This window comes from Homo sapiens, chromosome 9 (assembly GCF_000001405.40).
Source record: "Homo sapiens chromosome 9, GRCh38.p14 Primary Assembly".
Lineage (NCBI taxonomy): Eukaryota > Metazoa > Chordata > Mammalia > Primates > Hominidae > Homo > Homo sapiens.
In genome coordinates this window covers 127,526,176-127,546,911 of record NC_000009.12, presented here as the reverse complement: position 1 = coordinate 127,546,911, position 20,736 = coordinate 127,526,176, and the positions used below count along the sequence as shown (strand labels likewise).

General features: G+C 55.7%; 1 protein-coding gene and 1 long non-coding RNA gene across 5 annotated transcripts in view, besides 1 other annotated feature; both read left to right on the top strand.

The window, feature by feature from the left end:
* NIBAN2 (niban apoptosis regulator 2) overlaps positions 1 to 20,736 on the top strand; it is a 73,689-nt gene that overhangs the window by 32,120 nt on the left and 20,833 nt on the right. For all 4 annotated transcript variants that reach the window (NM_001035534.3, NM_022833.4, XM_011518925.2 and 1 more), the window contains 2 exons: positions 15,134 to 15,264; positions 19,590 to 19,718. In NM_001035534.3, coding sequence (NP_001030611.1) covers positions 15,134 to 15,264; positions 19,590 to 19,718 — 260 coding nt within the window. The remainder of the gene's footprint in view (positions 1 to 15,133; positions 15,265 to 19,589; positions 19,719 to 20,736) is intronic.
* LOC105376281 (uncharacterized) lies at positions 4,294 to 10,327 on the top strand. The gene is made up of 2 exons (XR_930372.3): positions 4,294 to 9,680; positions 10,224 to 10,327. It is a non-coding gene; the product is annotated as an uncharacterized LOC105376281 (long non-coding RNA).
* Positions 14,997 to 15,557: an enhancer, noted in NCBI's record as "H3K27ac-H3K4me1 hESC enhancer chr9:130293634-130294194 (GRCh37/hg19 assembly coordinates)". NCBI's record gives its function as "activates a minimal SCP1, AML or CMV promoter by ChIP-STARR-seq in naive H9 embryonic stem cells {active_cell/tissue: H9 hESC(naive)}" and the evidence as "EXISTENCE:reporter gene assay evidence [ECO:0000049][PMID:30033119]".

The window sequence follows — 20,736 nt, the reverse complement described above, 5'->3', positions numbered from 1 at the left end:
CCTGCAGGCTTGGTCAGTCACCTTCCTGGGCTCCTGTGACCTCCTGTGCTTCTCCCAGTTGGGGCTCCTAGTAATTGTAGTTTTTGTTGACAATCTGCCTCCCTCATTAGGGTACTCTCTCCTGAGTACCCAGTGGCCAGGATTGCTGAATGAATGAGTGAGAGCAACATAAACCCTTTCTTGGCCATCGTGATGAAGCCTCAGAGCCTCGCCTGAACTTGGTGACTCGCCTGACATCTGCCATTTTGGCTTGGCCCGCGCTGGCTGATGGAGGACATGGGATCTGGGCTGGGTCCTGTCCTCAGCCCTGCCCCAGTGGTTGTGACCTGTCTGATGGGGCGGGGCTGAGTGGTTGACACTGCGGACATCTTGGGGGAAGGGCTTGACCACAGGCTCTTCCTGCATATCTCAAGGTCCAACACCAGGCTGGACGCTGAGGGGAACATTGGTGGTGGGTTCTCAGGCCCAGGGCAGGTGTCCAGGCCCGTGGGGGGCACCTGCCAATGTGCACGAGCCACAGCAGAGCACCCTGGGTTCCCAGTCCAGCCTCGGCCCTGGACGTGACTGAGAGAAGGGGTATGAGGAGCACCTGTGGACAGGCGTGGGGATGCTCCTCTGGGGCCTGGGCAGTTTTGACAGGTGGCTGGCTAAGGCTCAGGCTCCTGTGGGGGTGGTGAGGATGACAAGAAAGGAATGAAGGCCAGAGACATTGTGGAGAAAAAGTCAACAGGAAAGGGTGACTCCATGTGAGAGGAAAGGAGGGTCGTGTCTACACAATCACTGTCATAGATCAGCCTCCTCCTTGGGCGTGGCCTTGGCCAGGGGGCCGCAGGATGGCAGCCTTGGGTGCCCACCCCCTGGAGTGTGGGTCCTGCTCTGGGTGGTGACGCTGCTGGGGGCCTCGGCACCCCCTGGGCTGCCCTCCCAGCGAGGATCTGTGTTCCCAGACGGCAGGCATGCCTCATCCTGGGCTCCCAGAACAAGCTGCCACTGTGGGCTGTGGGCTGGGGCCGCTGCCAGGCAGGCGGGGTGGGGGGCAGGAGGGGATGAGAGGGCTTTTGTTTCCTTCTGTTTGTGTCAAGATGGGAATGGACTTCCTCCCACCAGGCGGCCTCGAGGTGTAAAGGAAAGGGCAGCCCCAGTGGGCGGGTTTTGGGTCACCCGTTTTTTTGGGTGCATTTCTCTGGGCTCCCGCCTCAGCCCCGCCCTCTCCTCCCAGCCCTCCTGCCTCAAAGCTCACCCTTCCCCACCAGACCTGTTGTGGCCCAGCCCTGGTTAAATATTTGCCAACCGAGAAGAGTTTTCAAGGCAGCCTTGTGAAAAACCCCAGCTGACTCCTGGCTCTGTTGGGCCTGACCTGCCTCTGTGATGAGACCCAGACGGCCTGTGCCCTCAGACTGAGTCCCTGCCCACCATGGCCTCCCTGGTGACCTGTTTGGCGCCTGAGGCTGGGTGACCTAACACTTGTTCGGCACTTGTTTATCAAGCACCCCCCTGGGCCTGGCGGGAGCTGGGTGCTGGGGAGACAGCGGAGAGCAGTCTCAGTCCGGGGAGCGTCTCAGATGAGGCATTAACTGTGGTTGAGGGGAGTGCCGGGGAGCAGGCCAGGGGCTGTGGGAGTGGAGGCCAGGGAGGCTGTGGAGACCTGGGAGGCCGGGACTTGTCTGGAGGGAGGGTTCCGAGGAGGTGGCACTTGAGCCTGGGGAGGAGAAAGAGGAGTTGGCCAGGCACAAGGGGTGGACGCTAGGAGGGCACTGTAGACGTGGGACCCCAAGGCCAGAGGCCAGATTTCCTCCGCTGAGGAGGAAGCTGAGGGGCTGAGGTTGCGGTTCGCTTGGGTTCGCTGGGTGTGAAAGCCCCATTCACCTGTTTCTCCCCAAGATGGTCTCAGAGGAGCTGGGACACTAACAGGGCAATGGGACCCTGGGCAGCTTTTCCCCATTTCCCCAGCCTCAGTTTCCCCATCTGTCCAAAAGATAGTTTGGACTTGATCTTGGAGGTCCCTTCCCAGGTCCAGTGGCCTCTTAGGAGTATGTGGCTGGCCCATGAATGAGGGAATGTGCCATGGCAGGGATTCTACCAGCACCAAAGGCCAAGATAACAGCCATGGCCGGGTGCGGTGGCTCATGCCTGTAATCCTAGCACTTCGGGAGGCCGAGGCGGGTGGATCACCTGAGGTCAGGAATTCGAGACCAGCCTGACCAACGTGGTGAAACCCCGTCTCTACTAAAAATACAAAAATCAGCTGGGTGTGGTGGCACATGCCTGTAATCCCAGCTGCTTGGGAGGCTGAGGCAGGAGAATTGTTTGAACCTGGGAGGCGGAGATTGCAGCGAGCTGAGATCATGCCACTGCACTCCAGCCTGGGCAACAGAGTGGGGACTCCATCTCAAAAAAAAAATTAATTAATTAATTAAAAAAATAAAAGAAAAAAAGAATAACAGCCATGTGCCCTTATAGGGTTCATGCAGCCCTATCCTGGTGTTAGCAACAAAAGCCAACATCTCCTGAGTGCTCCCTGCCCTAGCAACCTTGTGAGGTGGTGGTGGAGGACTATGACATTATACCCATTTTACAGATAAGGAAACTGAGGCCCAGAGAGGCTGTTCTGAGCTCAGGGTTTGCTTCTTGTTTTAAGCATGGCTCCAGAAATACCCGTCTCTGTGAGAAACCCACCCTCCTCTCCCAAGGCCAGCGCCATGTTAGGTACCAGGGATACGGAAGTGAACAAGATACCATTCCAACCTGGGAAGCTGCCAGTCGAGCAAGGAATGTCCCAGCAGAGAGTCAGCAAATGGTTCTAGCTCTTCTCTCTTCCAGCACAGTTTGAGCAGCGAACAGAAGCAGGCTTGCCTTCACATCCCAGTTTTGCTCTTCCCTGTGTAGTATCGGGAAAGTCACTTAACTTCTCAGGAGCCTCAGATCCCTTATCCATAAAGTGGGTTTGGCAGTACGTCCCAGTGAGGGTTAAATGAAACAATGTTGACTATAATTTTTAGCATATATGGGATCTGCCTCTGTGCCTGGCACAGAACTAACTGTTACATGCATTAGCTCATGTTGCAATTATGATTATAATTTTCTGCAAGTGGGGAACTGAAGAACAGTGTGATGGAGGAGAGGATGGGTGAGCAGGGCCTTGAAAGTCTGGCTAAGATTGTGAACTGTGGAATTGAAGGGAAGGGCGGTCCAGCCAGAGGACACAACATGGATGAAGATGTGGAGGTAGGAAATGTGTAATGGAGGCGAGAGACGCCCAGGGTGTGGGGATGGGAAGGAGAGCGGGGCTGAGGTTGCGGATCTTGGATGTGATTCTGTGTAACATGCTTGTGGGCTTCAGTGTGCCAGGCCTGTGGTGACAAGTTAGTCCATAGTCTCTTGGGGCCATCAGAGCCCAGAGAGATCCTTTACAAAGTGCTTCATGCAACCATCTTCCAGATGTTTCCACAGCCCGTGGAGTCTAGGTTCAGCCAGCCTGGGCTCACACCCCAGCTTGGATTTTGGCTCCCTGCTTGACAGCCGGCTGACCTGGGACAAGGCCCTGGACCTTCCAGCCTCTGTCTTGATCGGGGGTGATTCCTGTACCACTTCCTGCAGCTGTTGTCCGGGTCTATGTCAGATGGCGTGAGGTGTCCCCAGCCAGCGTGACACCCATTAGCTTCGGGGTAGGAGGGCTCCCTAACTGTTCTGTGCCTTTTTGTTCCTGGTGTGGAGACAGAGCCTTTCTCCCTGGGCCATTTTGAGAGTCGAGAATGATCTCGCACTGGAAGTCCCTAGCTGAGGGCTGGCTCACGCAGGGTCACACGGCTGTCATTGTCGGGCCTTGGCGTGCTGAGGGATGCTGTCTTTAAGGGAAGAGGTTTTTCCTTGTTAATAACTGGCCTTGGGGCCAGGCACAGTGGCTCACGCCTGTAACCCCAGCACTTTGGGAGGCTGAGGCGGGTGGATCACCTGAGGTCAGGAGTTCGAGGCCAGCCTGGCCAACATGGTGAAACCCCCATCTCTACTAAAAATACAAAAAATTAGCCAGGTGTGATGGTGGGTGCCTGTAATCCCAGCTACTGGGGAGGCTGAGGCAGAAGAATTGCTTGAATCTGGGAGGCAGAGGTTGCAGTGAGCCAAGATCGTGCCACTGCACTCCAGCCTGGGCAACAGAGCCAGACTCCGTCTCAAAACAAAACAAAACAAAACTGGCCTCAGGGAAGAGTGACGCAGCCAAGGGCCCCTTCAGGGCACCTGAGGCCAGCAGGGGGGGAAATGTCGGTGGCAGCCACCTTCCCAAGGAAGGACAGCACAGTGTACATTTCCTCATCCCCAGGACCCAGCCAAGGGCCTGCTCCGATGTCAGCCTCCGTTTCCGTGGTGAGGAATCTCCGGGGTGTGTGGGGGCTTATTGCTCAGTGGCTTCGTGGCTCTCTTTTGGGGGTGGGTCTGGCCTGAGATTGGCACTTCTGGCCTGTTGCTGTGGGCTTCCCTTCCTTTTCCACTGCGTGCCAGGCCCTGCCCCAGGAGCAGGGGTGCTGCCTGTGGGAGCCACATGAGGAACAGACCTTTACCCACCAGGAGGCCAGCGGTGGGCTGCGGGAATAGGTGGAGGGCTCCCACCCAGCCTGGGGCTTTCCAGTTGAAAGACGCATGGTGGTGGGCTGAGGAGTGAGCTTGGCGGAAGACTGTATTCCGGACATGGGGAGCAGCCTCTGCGAGACCCCAGATGACTTGGGCCTGCGGGCATGGTAAGGAGCTCAGTTCCATCCCAGAGGCAGTAGGAGCTGTACCACTGGAAGGTTTCTGAGCCAGGAAACGTTGGGCAACTCCCCTGTGGCCCCTGTGTGTGGGAAGGATCAGAGGCAGCCAGGATGGAGTAGGCAGGACTTCAGTGGCTGCGGCGGGCACAGGACGGGAGTGGCCTGGCTGGGGGGCAGTGACTAGAGGCACAGGCTGGGTGGCCACTTGACTGGCCCCTGGGTGCTGGGGAGCCTGCCTCACCCTGTTGGGCTTGTGCTAGGGGGCAGGTAGTGGTGGGGTGGGAATCCCATAGGCCCTGTTTCTCTCAGGCCCAGAAGGGGGGTCCCAGGGGTCTGCTGTTGTACCCCTTCTGCCAAGGATGGCTCATGGAGGGACCCTGAATCCGTCCCTTGCCTTCTCTGGTATGGTCCCTCTTCTGGACAGGAATTGATTGGGTGGGGGACACTCAGCTGTCCTCCTCCTTCCTGGCCTGCCAGATTCTGGCTGCTGGCTCAGGCTCTTCTCGTGGATGGGCTGCTGGTCCCCCTCCTGCTACTTGATGGAGCCTGTCATTACCCCTCCCACCCCCAACTTCCCACCTGATTACAGGTCCTGAGCAGGAGCCCTGTGTCTGCCCTTCCCGTGGAGGCCACCCACAGGCTGGTGCTGCGGAGGCCAGGGTGAGATGGTTTTGCCCAAACGTTGGTTCCCTGTTCAGAGTTCATGTCATTTACAAGCTGTGTGTCCCTGGAGAAGTCCCTTAACCTCTCTGAGCCTCAGTGTTCTCTGGGAAGTGAGGACAGTGCGTGAAATAATGAGTGTGCATGTGCAGTGCCGTGCTGGGCACAGAGGTGGTGCTGACAAGTGGCTGCTGCTATTGTGTGTCGATTGTGACAGTAGGTGGGGGGCAAGTAGAAAGTAGAAAGGCCCTGAGCGAGGCACTGGTCTATGCCAACCCAGCTCTGTTGGATGTGCTGTGTGGCCCTAGGAGAGTGTCACCACCTTTCTGGACCCCAAGCTCTCCCTGCTGTCTCAGGCACATGATGGAGATGGTGGTGCTTGGGACAACTCTGAGACCTGCGAGAATGGAGTCCCTGCCCCGACTCTGCCTCTGCTGGTCCCTGGACTGTAGGGTGGGTGGGGTCGGCACCCCCCTCTTTCCCCCACCTCCCCATGCTGGACCTGCTCCCTATGCCCTGGGAACCAGGCGGGCAGGTTCTGAGCCTGCCCCACCCTACAGGGTGCTGCTACCTGCCTGGTTTCAGTCGGCAAACCTCTCAGCCCTGAAACCCTGAAACCGGGCTGGGCCTCGTGGGTGAGGTGTGTCCCTGGAGCCCACTGGAGAGACCGGATGAGCCAGGAACGGGTCTGGCACAGCGCCCTCCACTGGGGCCAAACCAGGGCTGGCGCCGGCGTGCAGCCCCCATGGTGGACATGAGCTGGATGTGGTCGCAGCTGGAGATGACTCTCTTCCTCTTGGGTCCCCCGTCCGTGTGGAACAGGGTTTCAGGCTTAGGCATCAGGTCGGGACCAGGGTGCAGATCCTACCTCTGCCTCTTCTCAGCAGAGTGATTTGGCAGAGGTACCCAGTTCTCGGTCACCTGGTCTGAAATGTTCTGCCAGTACCAATACCACCTGGCCCGAGGTTGAGTTGAAGAATCGGGGGCACGTGTCCAAGCAAAATGCTTAGCACAGGAGCGGCACATGGTGGCTTTGGGGAGCGTCATGACAAGGCAAAGAAGGAACTCCTTAGCTTGGCATTCGAGGCCCTCCGGGATACGCCTTTTTAGGTCCATTTTCTGAGAACCCCTGGACTCCTTCCTCCATTCTCAGCTCAGCAAGCCTCCTCTCCTCTCTGAGCCTCAGTTCCCCTATCTGCACAGTGGGCCTGGTACCCCATCCCCCAGCTCCCCAAGCCTCCAGGCCACCCTGGGGCCTCCCCAGTTCTTGCCCAGCCTCACTATCTGCACAGGAAGTAGCGTGGCCCTTAACGTTGTCAGTTTGGAAAATCAGAGATTAATTAACGTTCCGGCCGCCTTGGCTGCTGTTGGAGCTGGTCCCAGGGTGGGCCAGGCTGCATGCTCAGCCTCTGTTTCAAGGGCCTCACTGTGGGTTAGAGGAACCTTGACAAGAGGCACTTCTTAGGAGCCCCCATTGGTGAAGTGCCCCCTTCTTGCCAGGGTAAAGGGCTTCATGCTCAGTAGCCCGTTTGTCTCATAACCCATTCAGGCAGATACTGTTGTGCCATTTTGCAGAGGGGAAAATAAAGGCTCAGAGAGGAGAAGTGCCTTAGCCAAGGCCACACAGCTCATAGGTGGCAGAGCTGGGACTTGGACCCAGAGCCTGTGTGTCCATGTAGAAATGGTGCCCTGTTTGCAGGTGATGGGGGGTGCCTAGTTCTCCCCCCGGGTCCTTTTGTCTGGCCCGAGGGGGCTGTGATCAGCTGCTGGTCAGAGCTGACTCACCAGCAGCTCACAGGAGGGGCTGAGGCCAGCATCCCGGTCAGTTCCTGGGGCCAGGGCAGCACTGATTAGATTGTCGTTGAGATTTTCGGTCAGCTGAGCTGACAGGGACCCACCCTCCCATTTTAAAGGTGGGAAAATTAGGGCCCAGTGAGGATGAAGAAGTAAGGCTCCAGTGGGTCGGATGATTCTCCACCAGCTCCGACCCGACAGGGGCCAGTGGAGCTGGAAACCCTAGACCTCAGTCCCGGCTCTGACACCTGCCAGCTGTTGCCTCGGGAAAGTCACTTTGCCCTCTGAGCCTCGGTTTCCTCGTCTGTAAGATGAGGATAGTAAAGCCTTGTGTTGCCTCATTCTTGGGATTGGGCAAGACCCCAGCAAGAGAGTGGAAAACCAGGGGTTTGAAAGCGGCATTGCGGGTCCTCGTGAGGGGTCACTGGGATGAGAGGCTTTGCGGGGTAGGGCTCTGTGCAGGCTTTGGTGGGAGACAAGGTCCAAAACCCACCTCTTTCCCCTCCGTTGTGTGTCTTTGAGTGAGTCAGTGAGTCTCTCTGAGCCTCACTTTTCTTCCTTTCTTTTTTTTTGACTGACCCAAATTAGATCTTTATTGTATTTTTCCACATATCTATCATTCCCAAAAGATCAGTCAGCTCGATCCTTAATTTTTCTTACTATGAGATGTCCCTAATACACAGTCTTTGTATAAATTATCCATTTTAAGTATATAGTGAATTCCAGATGTGATCACAACTGCATTTCTTTCTTTTTTTTTTTTTTTTTGAGATGGAGTCTCACTGTGTCTCCCAGGCTAGAGTACGATGGCGCAATCTCAGCTCACTGCAGCCTCCATCTCCCAGGTTCAAGCAATTATCCTGCCTCAGTCTCCCAAGTAGCTGGGATTACAGGCGCCCACCACCATGCCTGGCTAATTTTTGTATTTTTGGTAGAGATGGGGTTTCACCATGTTGGCCAGGCTGGTCTCAAACTCCTGACCTCAAGTGATCTGCCTGCCTCGGCCTCCCAAAGTGCTGGGATTACAGGCGTGAGCCACTGTGCCCGGCCGCACAACTGCATTTCTTTTTTTTTTTTTTTTTCTTTGAGATGGAGTCTCACTGTGTCTCCCAGGTTGGAATGCAGTGGCGCGATCTTGGCTCACAGCAACCTCTGCCTCTCAGATTGAAGTGATTCTCCTGCCTCAGCCTCCTGAGTAGCTGGGATTGCAGGCACGCATCACCATGCCTGGCCACACAACTGCGTTTCTAAATAGCCATGTGACACTCACTGAGTGCTTCCTGGGTGGCAGCCGCTGTGTTTAGCCTGAGTCTCACTTTTCTTATCTGTCAGATGGGATACTAATACCTGTTAGGATTAAACAGGCTGTGGAGCATGCAGTAAGTTGTCGGTGGATAGGCACCTATCCCTGGCAAACTCTGGGGATCCAGGGGCAGAGTTAGGAGGACTGGCTTGTGAGGGGGTCCTTCTCAGTCACCCTCAATAACCCGATAGGATGCAGCCCTTGGAGACAGGGTTCCAGTCATATGGGGAGCAGAGCCCCCCTGAGATCCACAGAGCACCCCCTTATTCAACCAACTTGCTGAAAGGGTTGGCTCTCAGCTCCACAACAAACCCACAAGTGTGTGTTGTGAGTTTTGCCCTGGACCTGCATCCCCAAAAGTGGCCTCTTCAGAGGTGGATGCAGCCCAGTACCCATAGAGACACCAGGTGGAGACAGAGGCCTGGGATGGGAGTGGCTTCCTGAGGTCCCTGGGCACAGATCAGGACTCAACTCCACTCCCAGAATTCACACACTGCCCTCTTGGGCTAAGAAGGGAACCGGGACCCCAACAGGCAGGCGCCTTTTGTGACAACCTCTGTGAGGGGCCTCGGCAGGTTTTGTGGACTGACAGAGTGGCCTTTCCTGAGCTGTTTAATTGTTCTGAGCCTCGGTTCATACAGCTGTAAAGTGAGGGTTGTATTTCCCTCTGGGCCATTTGAAGAATGGTGTGTGTTGGGGCAAAGAACAGGTGGGCCCTGTGTCTGATGGGCGTGGGCTTACCTCCTGCTGGCAGAAAGCGAAAAGGGGGCAACCAACGGCTCTGGGCGCCAGCAGAGGCTAAGGGTTATGCCAGGGGATCCCAGCCACGGTTAGGCAGGACCCCCCATCAAACGCAGGGACCTGCTGTCCCCCTTGGCTTCCCCGCATCTGTGATCTTTGTTTGTGGAAGGCCTCCCATCATTATCATTATTATTTTGTGATTCTTGTCCCGGTTCTTCAGAAAACAAATCTTTATTGGATTATTTCAAACTATAAAAGTTATACTGCTAATAAACATTTCAAACAGTCTCTTATGACTGCTGTTCTCAGCTGAGGACACTGATGATTAACAGTGACGTTTATGGAGGCCTGGAGCTGAGCACCTCAAACGCTATCCGGTCCTGCAGAGCTCAGAGCTCGGGAACAGCTTCGGAGAGGCCCATTTACAAATGAAGAATGTGAGTCTCTGAGAGCTAGGCGCTTGCAGGGCTGGCATATGGCAGGGCGGGGACTCTGGTCCTGACTTCAAGCTCCTCACCAGGAGGCTGGGCACCTGGGGCCGCAGGGCAGGCTCTGTGAGTCCTGCCCCACTCCATTCCCTGCCTTCTCACCTAGCAGCACCTGGGGCAGAGTCAATGCAGGGAGGCAGAATGGATGAGATAATGTGGAAAGTGACGAAGCTGGCACACACCTTCACACCACCCCACCCCAGCCTCTCTGTAGCTCACAGAAGCGAGTGATTTCTACCACCAGCTGGAGCCCCCCAGTTCCTGGGCCCAGGACCTGCGGGCCAGCCCTGCCTCTGTAGATGGGGGCACAGCCAGTTTCCTCTCTGCCCTCTAAGGGGAGGTAGGGGGCCTGTGGGGCCCTGTAGACAATGGCCAGAGCTAGGACCAGGAGGGTGGCATGCAGCCGACTATGGCTCGAACCTAATTGCCTCCATCTGGCTGTGTGACCTCAGCTGAGCTGCTCACCCTCTCTGGCTCACATTCCCCTAACAGGGTGGTAAGCCTGAGTGTTGGAGGCCCTGTCCAACATCTGCCCCAAATCCGTGGCGTGTGGTGTCTCCAGAGGCTGCGGCAGGAAATGGAAAGAGCTGCTGTGGGCAAGTATGGAGGAAAGAGGGGTGCCCGGGCTCAGGACCCCCACAGACACCCAGGCCGGGACGCCATGTGGGAATTTGAGTTGTAAAATCCTGAAGCAACAATGCCGGGGGAGAGCCACTGCAGGGAGCAAGAAGGAAAAGTGGGGTACTGGGTGGGGCCTGCCTGGACTGCAGCCCCAGAGCTCAGCAGGTAAGGCGGTGGCCAGGCTGGGTCCTCTGGCTGAGCCCCCACCAGGGCTGCAGTGCTCGCCTGGGTCCTCTTCCAGCAGGGTCCAGCCAGGAAGGCCCTGCAAGCCCTTTGTCCAGGCTGGCCCCCTCCCAATGCTGCTGGCCTTTTGGGTCCCTCTGGCCTCCACACCTGGGGTCCCCAGCACCCGAGTCCTCATCTTCTGCGTCTCTGGGTTACTTCCTCTGTACAAAGCACGTGGCGGTTCCTTCCATGCTGGCTGAGGACATCTCTCAAGAATGTGCTCGGGGCTACCCCTGCCAAGGAGCCATCCGTGGCCCTGTTTCCCATGGTCCTCCCTTTCTAGCTCTCCCGTGGTCGCCACCCTTCTTCTGAGCGGAGCTGGCTTCCCGGTGCTGCCTGGGCTCCGTCCTTAAGGTCCTTAACCCCTTGCTAATGCTGTCCCCCTACCTGCAGCATGGCGCTCCCTCAGTACCCCCTCCGATGCCTGCCCCACGGCCTTCCCTTGTTTGGACTTAGTAACTATTTGGCTGCTGGACCAAACCCCCACTATTCCTCCCCTTGCCGACATCTGCTTGTGCCAGGCCTGGTGCCCAGGATCCAGTGGTGAGCAAAAGGAGACCAGACCCCTCCAGCAGAGTTCCTGGCCCTCCCTACCTGACCCATTTGGCTCCTGAATTCTGAGAGCAAGCCTGGATAGTGAGCGACTCCAGCCCCACCTGGGGCCAACGTGACAAACCTAGAGGGAACTGCATCCTGGACCCCTGGCCCTTGCCTGGGTCCCCTCAGCCCGAGGCCCTAGGCCTGTGGGCAGCACTGCGCTGGTCCAGGGACCTGACCTTCAGCCTTGACCTTCAGCTCCCACCCTGACAGGCAGCGGGGTCCCTGCACTCCCATGTCTCCCTTCCTCAGAGCTTCCTGCAGCTTCCTCTCCAGTCCACAGCCTGCCCAACTTGGGCCTTAACTGTCCCTCGGTGGGACATGCCTGGGCCTTCTCCTGGCTCAGTCTTGCCCTCTTTTGTCCTCCCCAGCCCAGCCCAGGGGCCTTTCTGAACCCAGCTCCTCCCTGCCTGGACACCATATCTGGACTGTGCTGTCCGGGCAGTTGAGCACGGGCTGCGGTCAGGCAGACCTGTGTTCGAGTCCTCACAGCAATGGCAGCTCCCTCCAGGGCCTGCTCCGTGAGGGCCAGGGTGGCAGACTCCAGCCCTTTGGGATCTGTCTGTGGGCTGGGTGCACTGGGGCTGGCTGGGGGCCCTGGAGCCACGGCCAAAGGAACCCTGAGACCTGCAGGCCCAAGCCTGCCCATCCTGCCGACCACGTTGATAGAATGCCTGTGGGGTGCGTGGCTTGACTCCTCATCCCTGAAATAGGAAAACAACAGCACTGGCTTCCTGGGGTTCTCATGGAGATTCTCTGGGTTCACATACGTAAAACCTGCCGTAGCACGGGTTTAATGCTCTGCAAGTGGTGGCCATGACGATGACAACCATGGTACCGATGTTATTGTCAGCTTCCATCCTCTTTTCTCTATTATCCCCGATGTATGACTCTCTTCCATTTGCCCCCTCTCTGCCTCATGATTTTTCAAAACAATTCCCATGGTCTCAGAGAGAGTTCTGGTTGTTTATGGTTTTTAAAAAATAGGCATTCAAAGCAAATTCCTCATTTGTTCTCCCCTTCCTCCCCCCAAACTGGAATCTGGACAGACATGACCTCACTCCAGGAAAGGGGAGTACAGGGAGGGACAGGGTCTGTGGAGAGGGGTTGGGGGGCATCCCTCCACCCCCATCACTGAGGCAGGGCCCGGGGTGTGGGCAGACACCCAGGAAGGTCACATGCCTGGGACCCTGGTTATGAGCTGTGAGGCATGGTGTGTGACATGCCCTTTCAGCCCTCCTCCCAGGCCACCACCTCCTGGTGGGGACCCAGGACTGCATCCCAGCTCTACCACCCACTGGCTGTGTGACCTTATGCCAGTGACTTAACCTCCCTGGGCCTCAGTTACCTCCTCTGTAAAGTGGGGATAACACAGGTTCTCCCTCACAGAACTATAGAGAGGATGGAATGAAATGTCATCCTAGCCAGGTGCCCTCGGTACCTGGAGACTGGCCATGGGAGGGGCAGGTTCCTGCCAGCTCCTGTTTTGAGAAAGGACCAGGTCTTTGAAACCTGGAATCCAAGACTGTCAGAGATGGCAGGGCCTGTCCGTCATCGAATGCAGCCTCTCAGTGCATGGGGGAAACCGAGGCTCAGAGAGGGGAGCCGCACAGCGGGCCAGCACAAATCCCAGTTGGGACGCGAGCTGCAGCTTCTTAGGACCAGGAAGCCTCTCCCCTCATGGGTCCGAGACCCTCTCTGGGCCTCCTCCTTCATCTGAACATGGGGGCACCCAGGAGCACACGTGCTGAGCCTGATGTGGCCTGGGCCTGCCTTCAAGGCCATAGCACTCACCTCTATTCAGAAACCGCGCAGAAGACAGAAGCAAATGGCCAGTGAAAGCAGAAAGGTTGTTCACTTGGTAGAGGCATTAATTTTAGAATGTTTATTTTTTATTATGAAAGGAATCATGATTATAAAATAATTCAAATGCTATAAAAGGAAATAAACCAAAAATGAAGTTCACTCTGTACTCCCCACTCCCACACCAGAGGTCCTGCCTTCCTAGCCTGGCATGCTGCCTTCCAGACCTCCTCCACGCACCCAAGCCTAAGTAAGCTATATGCACAAATAGGAGGAGTTTTGGTTTTGTTATGTGTGTGTTGAGACAGGGTCTCGCTCTGTCGCCCAGGCTGGAGTGCAGTTGCACGATCATAGCTCGCTGCAGCCTCGACCTCCCTGGGCTTAAGTGACCCTCCCACCTCAGCCTCCTGAATAGCTGGGAATACAGGCACACGCCACCACACCTGGCTAATTTTTGTTTTGTTTTGTTTTGTTTTTTGAGATGGAGTCTCGCTCTGTCGCCCAGGCTGGAGTGCAGTGGCACGATCTCGGCTCACTGCAAGCTCCGCCTCCCGGGTTCATGCCATTCTCCTGCCTCAGCCTCCCGAGTAGCTGGGACTACAGGCGCCCGCCACCATGCCTGGCTAATTTTTTCTATTTTTTAGTAGATACAGGGTTTCACCGTGTTAGCCAGGGTGGTCTCTATCTCCTGACCTTGTGATCTGCCCACCTCGGCCTCCCAAAGTGCTGGGATTACAGGCCTAAGCCACCGTGCCCAGCCTTTTGTTTTGTTTTTTTAAGATAGAGTCTTGCTCTGTCACCCAGGATGGGGTGTAGTGGTACGATCTTGGTTCATTGCAACCTCTGCCTCCTGGGTTCAAGTGATTCTCCTGTCTCAGCCTCCTGAGTAGCCGGGATTACAGGTACCCGCCACCATGCCTGGCTAATTTTTCTATTTTTAGTAGAGATGGGGTTTTGCCATGTTGGCCAGGCTGGTCTCGAACTCCTGACCTCAGGTGATCTGTCTACCTTGTCCTCCCAAAGTGCTGTGAACCACCGCACCTGGCCAGACTTTTGTATTTTTTTGTAGGGATGAGGTCTTGCTGTGTTGCTCAGGCTGGTCTCAAACTCCTGGGCTCAAGCGATCCACCTGCCTTAGTCTCCCAAAGTGCTGGGATTATAGGTGTGAGCCACTGCACCTGGCCAGAAAGCGATTTTTTTTTTTTTAAATGAGCTGATAGTCAACAGGTGACTCTGTCACTTGCTTTCTTTCCTTAATGGAGCATGAGCCCTTTCCGTTTGTTGGCACCTATCCGGATAGGTCCCTCCATTTTTTTAAATTTTTTTATTATATGGAGTCTCGCTCTGTCGCCCAGGCTGGAGTGCAGTGGTGCAATCTCGACTCACTGAAACCTCCGCCTTCCACCAAACTTCCAGGTTCAAGTGATTCTCCTGCCTCAGTCTCCTGAGTAGCTGGCCTTACAGGCGCCTGCCACCATGCCCTGCTGATTTTTGTATTTTTAGTAGAGACAGGATTTCGCCATGTTGGCCACATTGGGCTTGAACTCCTGACCTCAGGTGATCCACCTACCTTGGCCTTGAAAAGTTCTGGGAGCCACCATGCCTGGCCCCCCTCCATCTTTTTACTTTTTACTGACCTGGGTGAATGAACCAATGTATACCGATCATCCCTAGAGATCACATTCAGCTGCTCCCCGCTATGGCCTCAGTGCACATTCGCCTTTGTGTCCTGCGAATCGTTCTATGGGGGTAGATTCCTAGAGGTGGGAGCATCCAAGGACAGGACACCCACCCTCCGAAATGGCTGTCCCCATTCCTGGCGCCCCCAGCTCTGAGTGACATGGCCTGTTTTTGCATGTCCCCACCAGTGTGACGACAGGAAATGGAGTCTTGGTTCTGTTTGCATTTGTTTGATTCTCTGTCTATGGCCATTACCCGCTTTCCCATCTGGAGGTTCACCTTTTCCAAGGCAGTTGGTTTTCACAGGAAACGCGGGGCTCTGGCCAGAAATGCAGCGCAGATGAGCGCGAGGAGCCTGTGCAAACAATTCCACATGCAGGAATTTGGGGCTTTGCAGCCACTCCTGCCTAGGGGAAGGATCGTGATGCATCAGCATCCCTGAGGACCTCAAGCTCCTGCTTGTCCTTCTCTTCCAGAAAAAACCGGGAAGATCCTGACGGAGTTCCTCCAGTTCTATGAAGACCAGTATGGCGTGGCTCTCTTCAACAGCATGCGCCATGAGATTGAGGGCACGGGGCTGCCGCAGGCCCAGCTGCTCTGGCGCAAGGTGAGAGGTGCTGGGAGGGCTCGGGTATGTTCTGCTACTTCTCGCCATGTGGCCTCGGGGGAGTGACCTTACTTTTCTGGGCCTCAGTTTCCCATTGTTACTGTGATGGCCTCTAAGGGTCTCCCCAGCTTCTTTTTTTAAAATTAATTATTTTTTTCTTTTTTGAGACAGAGTCTCGCTCTGTCACTCAGGCTGGAGTGCAGTGGCACAATCTCAGCTCACTGCAACCTCCGCCTCCCAGGTTCAAGGCACTCTCCTGACTCAGCCTCCCGAGTAGCTGGGACCACAGGCGTGCACCACCATGCCCGGCTAAGTTTTTGTATTTTTAGTAGAGATGGGGTTTTACCATGTTGGCCAGGCTGGTCTCAAACTCCTGACCTCAAGCCATCTGACTGCCTTAGCCTCCCAAAATGCTGGGATTACAGGCAGGTGTGAGCCACTATGTGCGGCTTATTCAATTTTTTTTTTTTCAGACTGGGTCTTGCTGTTGCCCAGGCTGGAGTGCAGTGGCGCAATCATGCCTCACTGCAGCCTCAACCTTCCTGGCTCAAGTGATCCTTCCACCTCAGTCTCCCCAGTTACTGGGACTACAGGTGCACACCATCACTCTAGGCTAATTTTTGCATTTTTTGTAGAGATGGGGTTTTGCTGTGTTGCCCAGGCTGGTCTCAAACTCCTGGGCTCAAGTGATCCTCCAGCCTCAGCTCCCCAAAAGTGCTGGGATTACAGGCGTGAGCCACCATGCCTAGCCTCCTTCCCACTTCTGAATAGGTGGGTAACCCAGGTCGTGTTGTTGAGACCCCTTCAGTCACCGTGGGTGACTCCTCCTAGCTCACCTCCTCCACCATCAGAGCTGGGGCTCTAGAGTCTGGATAGTCTCCAATTCAAGGCAAGCTCCTCCAGTAAGAGCCTCAGTTTACTCATCTGTCAAATGGGATGAGAACACCTCCTTCACAGGGTGGTTGTGCCTGAAGCAGGGAAGGCACTGTCACTGGCTCCATCATGATCTGCTATGATATAAATAGTAGGATGCTGTTTGCTAAGGACATATTTGTTGAGTGAGAGATTAGAAGCTGCCTGGCTCCAGCCTGAGGGTCAGCGTGGGCCAGAGGGGGCTGGCAAAGCCTTCTGGGAAGAGGAACCTGTGATTGACTCGGACACGGGGCCGGGGGCGGGACTCAAGAGATCCTCCCACCTTGGCCTCCCAAAGTGCTGGGATTACAGGCCTCAGCTGCCGCACCTGGCCAAGGCTGAGCCTTTAAGTGGCTCATTCAGGATGGCGGAGGCTGGACCAGCCCAGGGCCCTTTCTGCTGTGACTGCAACCCGCCCGGTGGAGGGAGGTCAGGACCGTGTGTCGGAGCTGCTCAGAGCATCACCTTTGCTTTTTGACCCAGAAAAGGTTGCCTCTTCCCCAGTGTCATGGTAACCTCTTGACCCTGTGGCAGCAGAGCGTCAGAGGGGCCTGCTGTGGCCCGGCCTGGGTGTCTGGCAGGTGCGTATCTGTGTGGTAGGAAAGGAAAGAAAAGGAGGCCTTGGACGCAGCCCAGGTGAGCGGGGCCAGAATGGCTCCCCTGTCTGGAAAGAAATGTCATGGGCAGCCCAAGTCCCTATAATCCAAGACAAGTGGGCACTGGCTGAGGGCGTGAAGCATTTCCTCTGCGTGAGGCCTCATTTAAGTCTGGGGAGGCAGGAGTGCATATTTATTTGTAGAAAAATAGCAACATGTAAGCAAGGAGAGTGAAATGAGATCACTCACCCACAGTCCCTGAAAAGCAGTATTTTTGGTCTCATTTTGGCCACTCAGGAAACCGATCATCACAATGCAAAGTTATGATAACATCATAATACTGGAAATAATATTAATCACCAGTGGTGATCAAAACAATAGTGGTTTTTATTAGAAACAATAATAGAATACAAATAAAAATAGTGATAATAATGATAACGTAATAATACAACAGAAATAAGAATAATAAAACAGCAGTTGTCTTTTTGTTTGTTTTTGCTTTTTCAGAGTCTCACTCTGTTGCCCAGGCTGGAGTGCAGTGGCACAGTCTCGGCTCACTGCAACCTCCACCTCCCTGGTTCAAGCGATTCTCATACCTCAGCTTCCCCAGTAGCTGGGATCACAGGCATCCACCACCACACCCCGCTAATTTTTTATATTTTTAGTAGAGACAGGGTTTCACCATGTTGGCCAGGCTGGTCTCGAACTCCTGACCTTAGGTGATCCACCTGCCTCGGCCTCCCAAAGTGCTGGGATTACGGGCGTGAGCCACAGCGCCCGGCTAAAACAGCAGTTATCTTATGCCGGTACTGTTTGCTCAGCCCCGTGGCCCCACTCTGAGGGAGGGGCTATGATGATGCCTGCATCACAGATGTAGACATTGAGGCTCAGAGATGTGGAGCTACTTGTCCAGGATCTGGCAGTCGGTGGTGCCGACACAGGAGTTCCAGTTATCTGACCTTGGGGCCTGTGCTGTCTCTGACCGAGGCATTGGAGAGCTTCGCAGAGTCTAAAATATTTTGCCTGGGCTGTCGAGTTCTGTTTCATTTCCTGCAGGCCTTCCAATTGAACACGACTCTGCCATTTGAAAGTCTTAAAAATAAAACCCAAACCCACAGCCAGCCACCCATTCGAGCTCCCCAGGATCTGGGGGCGGACTGGGTGGTGGGGGTTGTTGAGCCTGCCTGGGCCACAAGCCTGCTTCTGCACAGCCTCCTGCTGGGCTGGGACTGGCCCTGTCCCGGAGTGCCCGTCCTTGTGTCCCGGGGCTCCTGCCCTAAGCAGGGATGAAGATGAAAACTAGGGGCCTTTTGCTAGGGTGTTATGAGAGCTCTGTCTGCTCTTTCTAGAAAAGACAGGGATTTGAGCTGGGTGTGGGCAGTTTATACATAGACGGCTGAGGGCAGCTCTGTGACTTGGGCAAAGCCCACTGTGTGTGGGGGTGGTAGGGGAACCATTTTCTTTTCCTGTAAATATTTTTATACCCGGTAGGAAGAAGCCTGCAGGTCCTATTGTGTGAGCACAATGGGCTCTCCTTCTCCAGGAGTGTTTTGTGTTTCCCCTTGAAGAGCAGCAGGGAGGGAGCTGGGGAGAGGGGGACATGGTGAAGGGGGTGGAGAGACGGGACTGCAGGGATGGGCCAGCGCAGAGCCAGGAAGCCAGGAAGGTGCAGGCATGATGGCAATCACCCTTTCTCCATGAGTGCATCTGAGAAATGTTTCTTTTTGCAAAAGGCACCTTATTTATTGTAGAACAAATAGAATTTGCAGAGGAACACTGTACTCTCCTGGGTTCCCTCCCATCCAAGACGAAGCCTCTTCCACTGTGGTCTATCTCCTTCCAGAAGCTTTCTGGTGCTTGTCTGCTCAGGACGCCTTGCACCTGGCCATAGCTTCGCTTGGGCCCCCAACCCTAGTTTAAAGATCTCCCTTCTCCTTCCCCATCCCCAGATAAGTCAGTCCCTGAGGATTGGAGGTCGTCACAGACGCTGAGTCCTACCGTAGTGGTCATGGCGGTCCTGTGCATTATGCACCTGCCTGTCAGGTGCCAACTCTTACTGTTCCCATTTTACAGATGAGGAAACTGATGCTCAAAGTGACTAGACACACTGTGAGTCAGGCAGAGCTAGGGCTTTGTAGGAAGGTCCGGGCGTTTCTGCAGCCCATGTAGGTCACTAGCCTGCCAGGACGCGGGTCAGACATCAAACACCCCCAGACAGAGGCCCCCTCCATTCCCCCTACTCCTTTTTAGGAAGGCGTCTCATCAGCCATCAGAGCTGACAGGCTCTCTGGAGCCACCTTGTTCAAGTTATCATTGCCCTGAGGGGAAACAGAAGCCTAGAGCTGGGGAGAGGCTTGCCCAGGCACTGGGGCCCTCGCAGTTCTGGCCTGTGGGTGTGTCCCCCGTGCCCGGAGCGACCTCGGGGCACCAGTGCTGTAGCTGTAGGTGGGTGGGGAGCAACCATCTCCCCAGACCCTTCCAAGGTAGCGGTGACAGCCCAAGGCTGGGATGGAGAGGGAGAGCCTGGCTGTGGCCAGGCCCTACATCAGTGCCTGTCCTGGGTTCAAGTCCTGGCATCACCACCCTGCCTGGATGCTGGGTGAGCCCCTCCACGGCTCCGAGTCTCGCTCCTCCTCTGCAGAATGGATGAGATGCAGCCCGGCCTCAGAGGCCTTGGGAGGACTTGGGGAGACCCAAAATGGAGGACATGCTAGGCAGGGGGTGCGCACACAGGCTCTGCTGGCTGGGCCATCAGCTTCATGGGGAGCACCACCCCCCCAGACCTGGGCCTCACTCCCCACCCGCTCCTGCCCACAGGTGCCACTGGACGAGCGCATCGTCTTCTCGGGGAACCTCTTCCAGCACCAGGAGGACAGCAAGAAGTGGAGAAACCGCTTCAGCCTCGTGCCCCACAACTACGGGCTGGTGCTCTACGAAAACAAAGCGGTGAGGCCTGGCCCCGGGCGCCACACTGAGCCTCCCCGCTTTCTCCATGTGTGCCCCCTCCCCCAACTCGGAAACTTAGGCCCCAGACGCCACCGTCACAGCCTGCACGCGGTCACCAGGGCCAGAGCACCACCTCAGCCCCTCCCCTCCCCCAAACTGGGCTGCCCTGGGTGCCCTCTCTGGACGGCAGCTCATTCTTCATCTCTGGGGAATATCGCTGACTCCTTCTGTCCCTCATAAACCAACTGTCACTCACTCCTCCCCATCCCTCCTAATCTCTCTTCAGTCCCTCCAGCTGGCTCCAGGGCGTTCCTCCTGCCACCTCCTTCCTCACTGGGCTTCCTGCCTCTCCTCCGACCCCTCCCACCCTCGACAGCCACAGAGAGCTGTTGGAGGCACAATCTGGCCATTCCTTGCGGTGGCTTGCCCCTGCCCTACAGGTGGGTAGGTGTCCGAGAAGGACATCCTATGGGAGCATTGTGCCTTATCTTTTCCCTGAGCCCTCAGGGAAGCCCCACCTGGTTGAGCCACAGACCTGATTTCTTCAATTGCTCATTTCTCCAGAGCAGCCAGAAGGACAGGCCTGGGCCCTGTATTTCACGGAAGATCAATGTTAGAGCAACATAAAGTCAAGAGCAACCTCGTGCCCCAGAGTAGTGGTTCTCAACTGGTAGCACGTCCAAATCACCTGAAGGGCTTGCTGAAAGACACGGTGCTGGGCTTTCCCCCAGAGTTTGATTCAGGTTGGGAGCCAAGATTTGCATCTCTTTTTTTTTTCTTTTTTTTTTTTTTTTTGAGATGAAGTCTAGCTCTGTCGCCAGGCTGGAGTGCAGTGGCGCCATCTCAGCTCACTGCAACCTCCACCTCCCTGGCTCAAGTGATTCTCCTGCCTCAGCCTCAGGAGTAGCTGGGACTACAGGCGTGCACCACCATTCCCAGCTAATTTTTGTATTTTTAGTAGAGACTGGTTTTCACCATGTTGGCCCGGATGGTCTTGATCTCCTGACCTCATGATCTG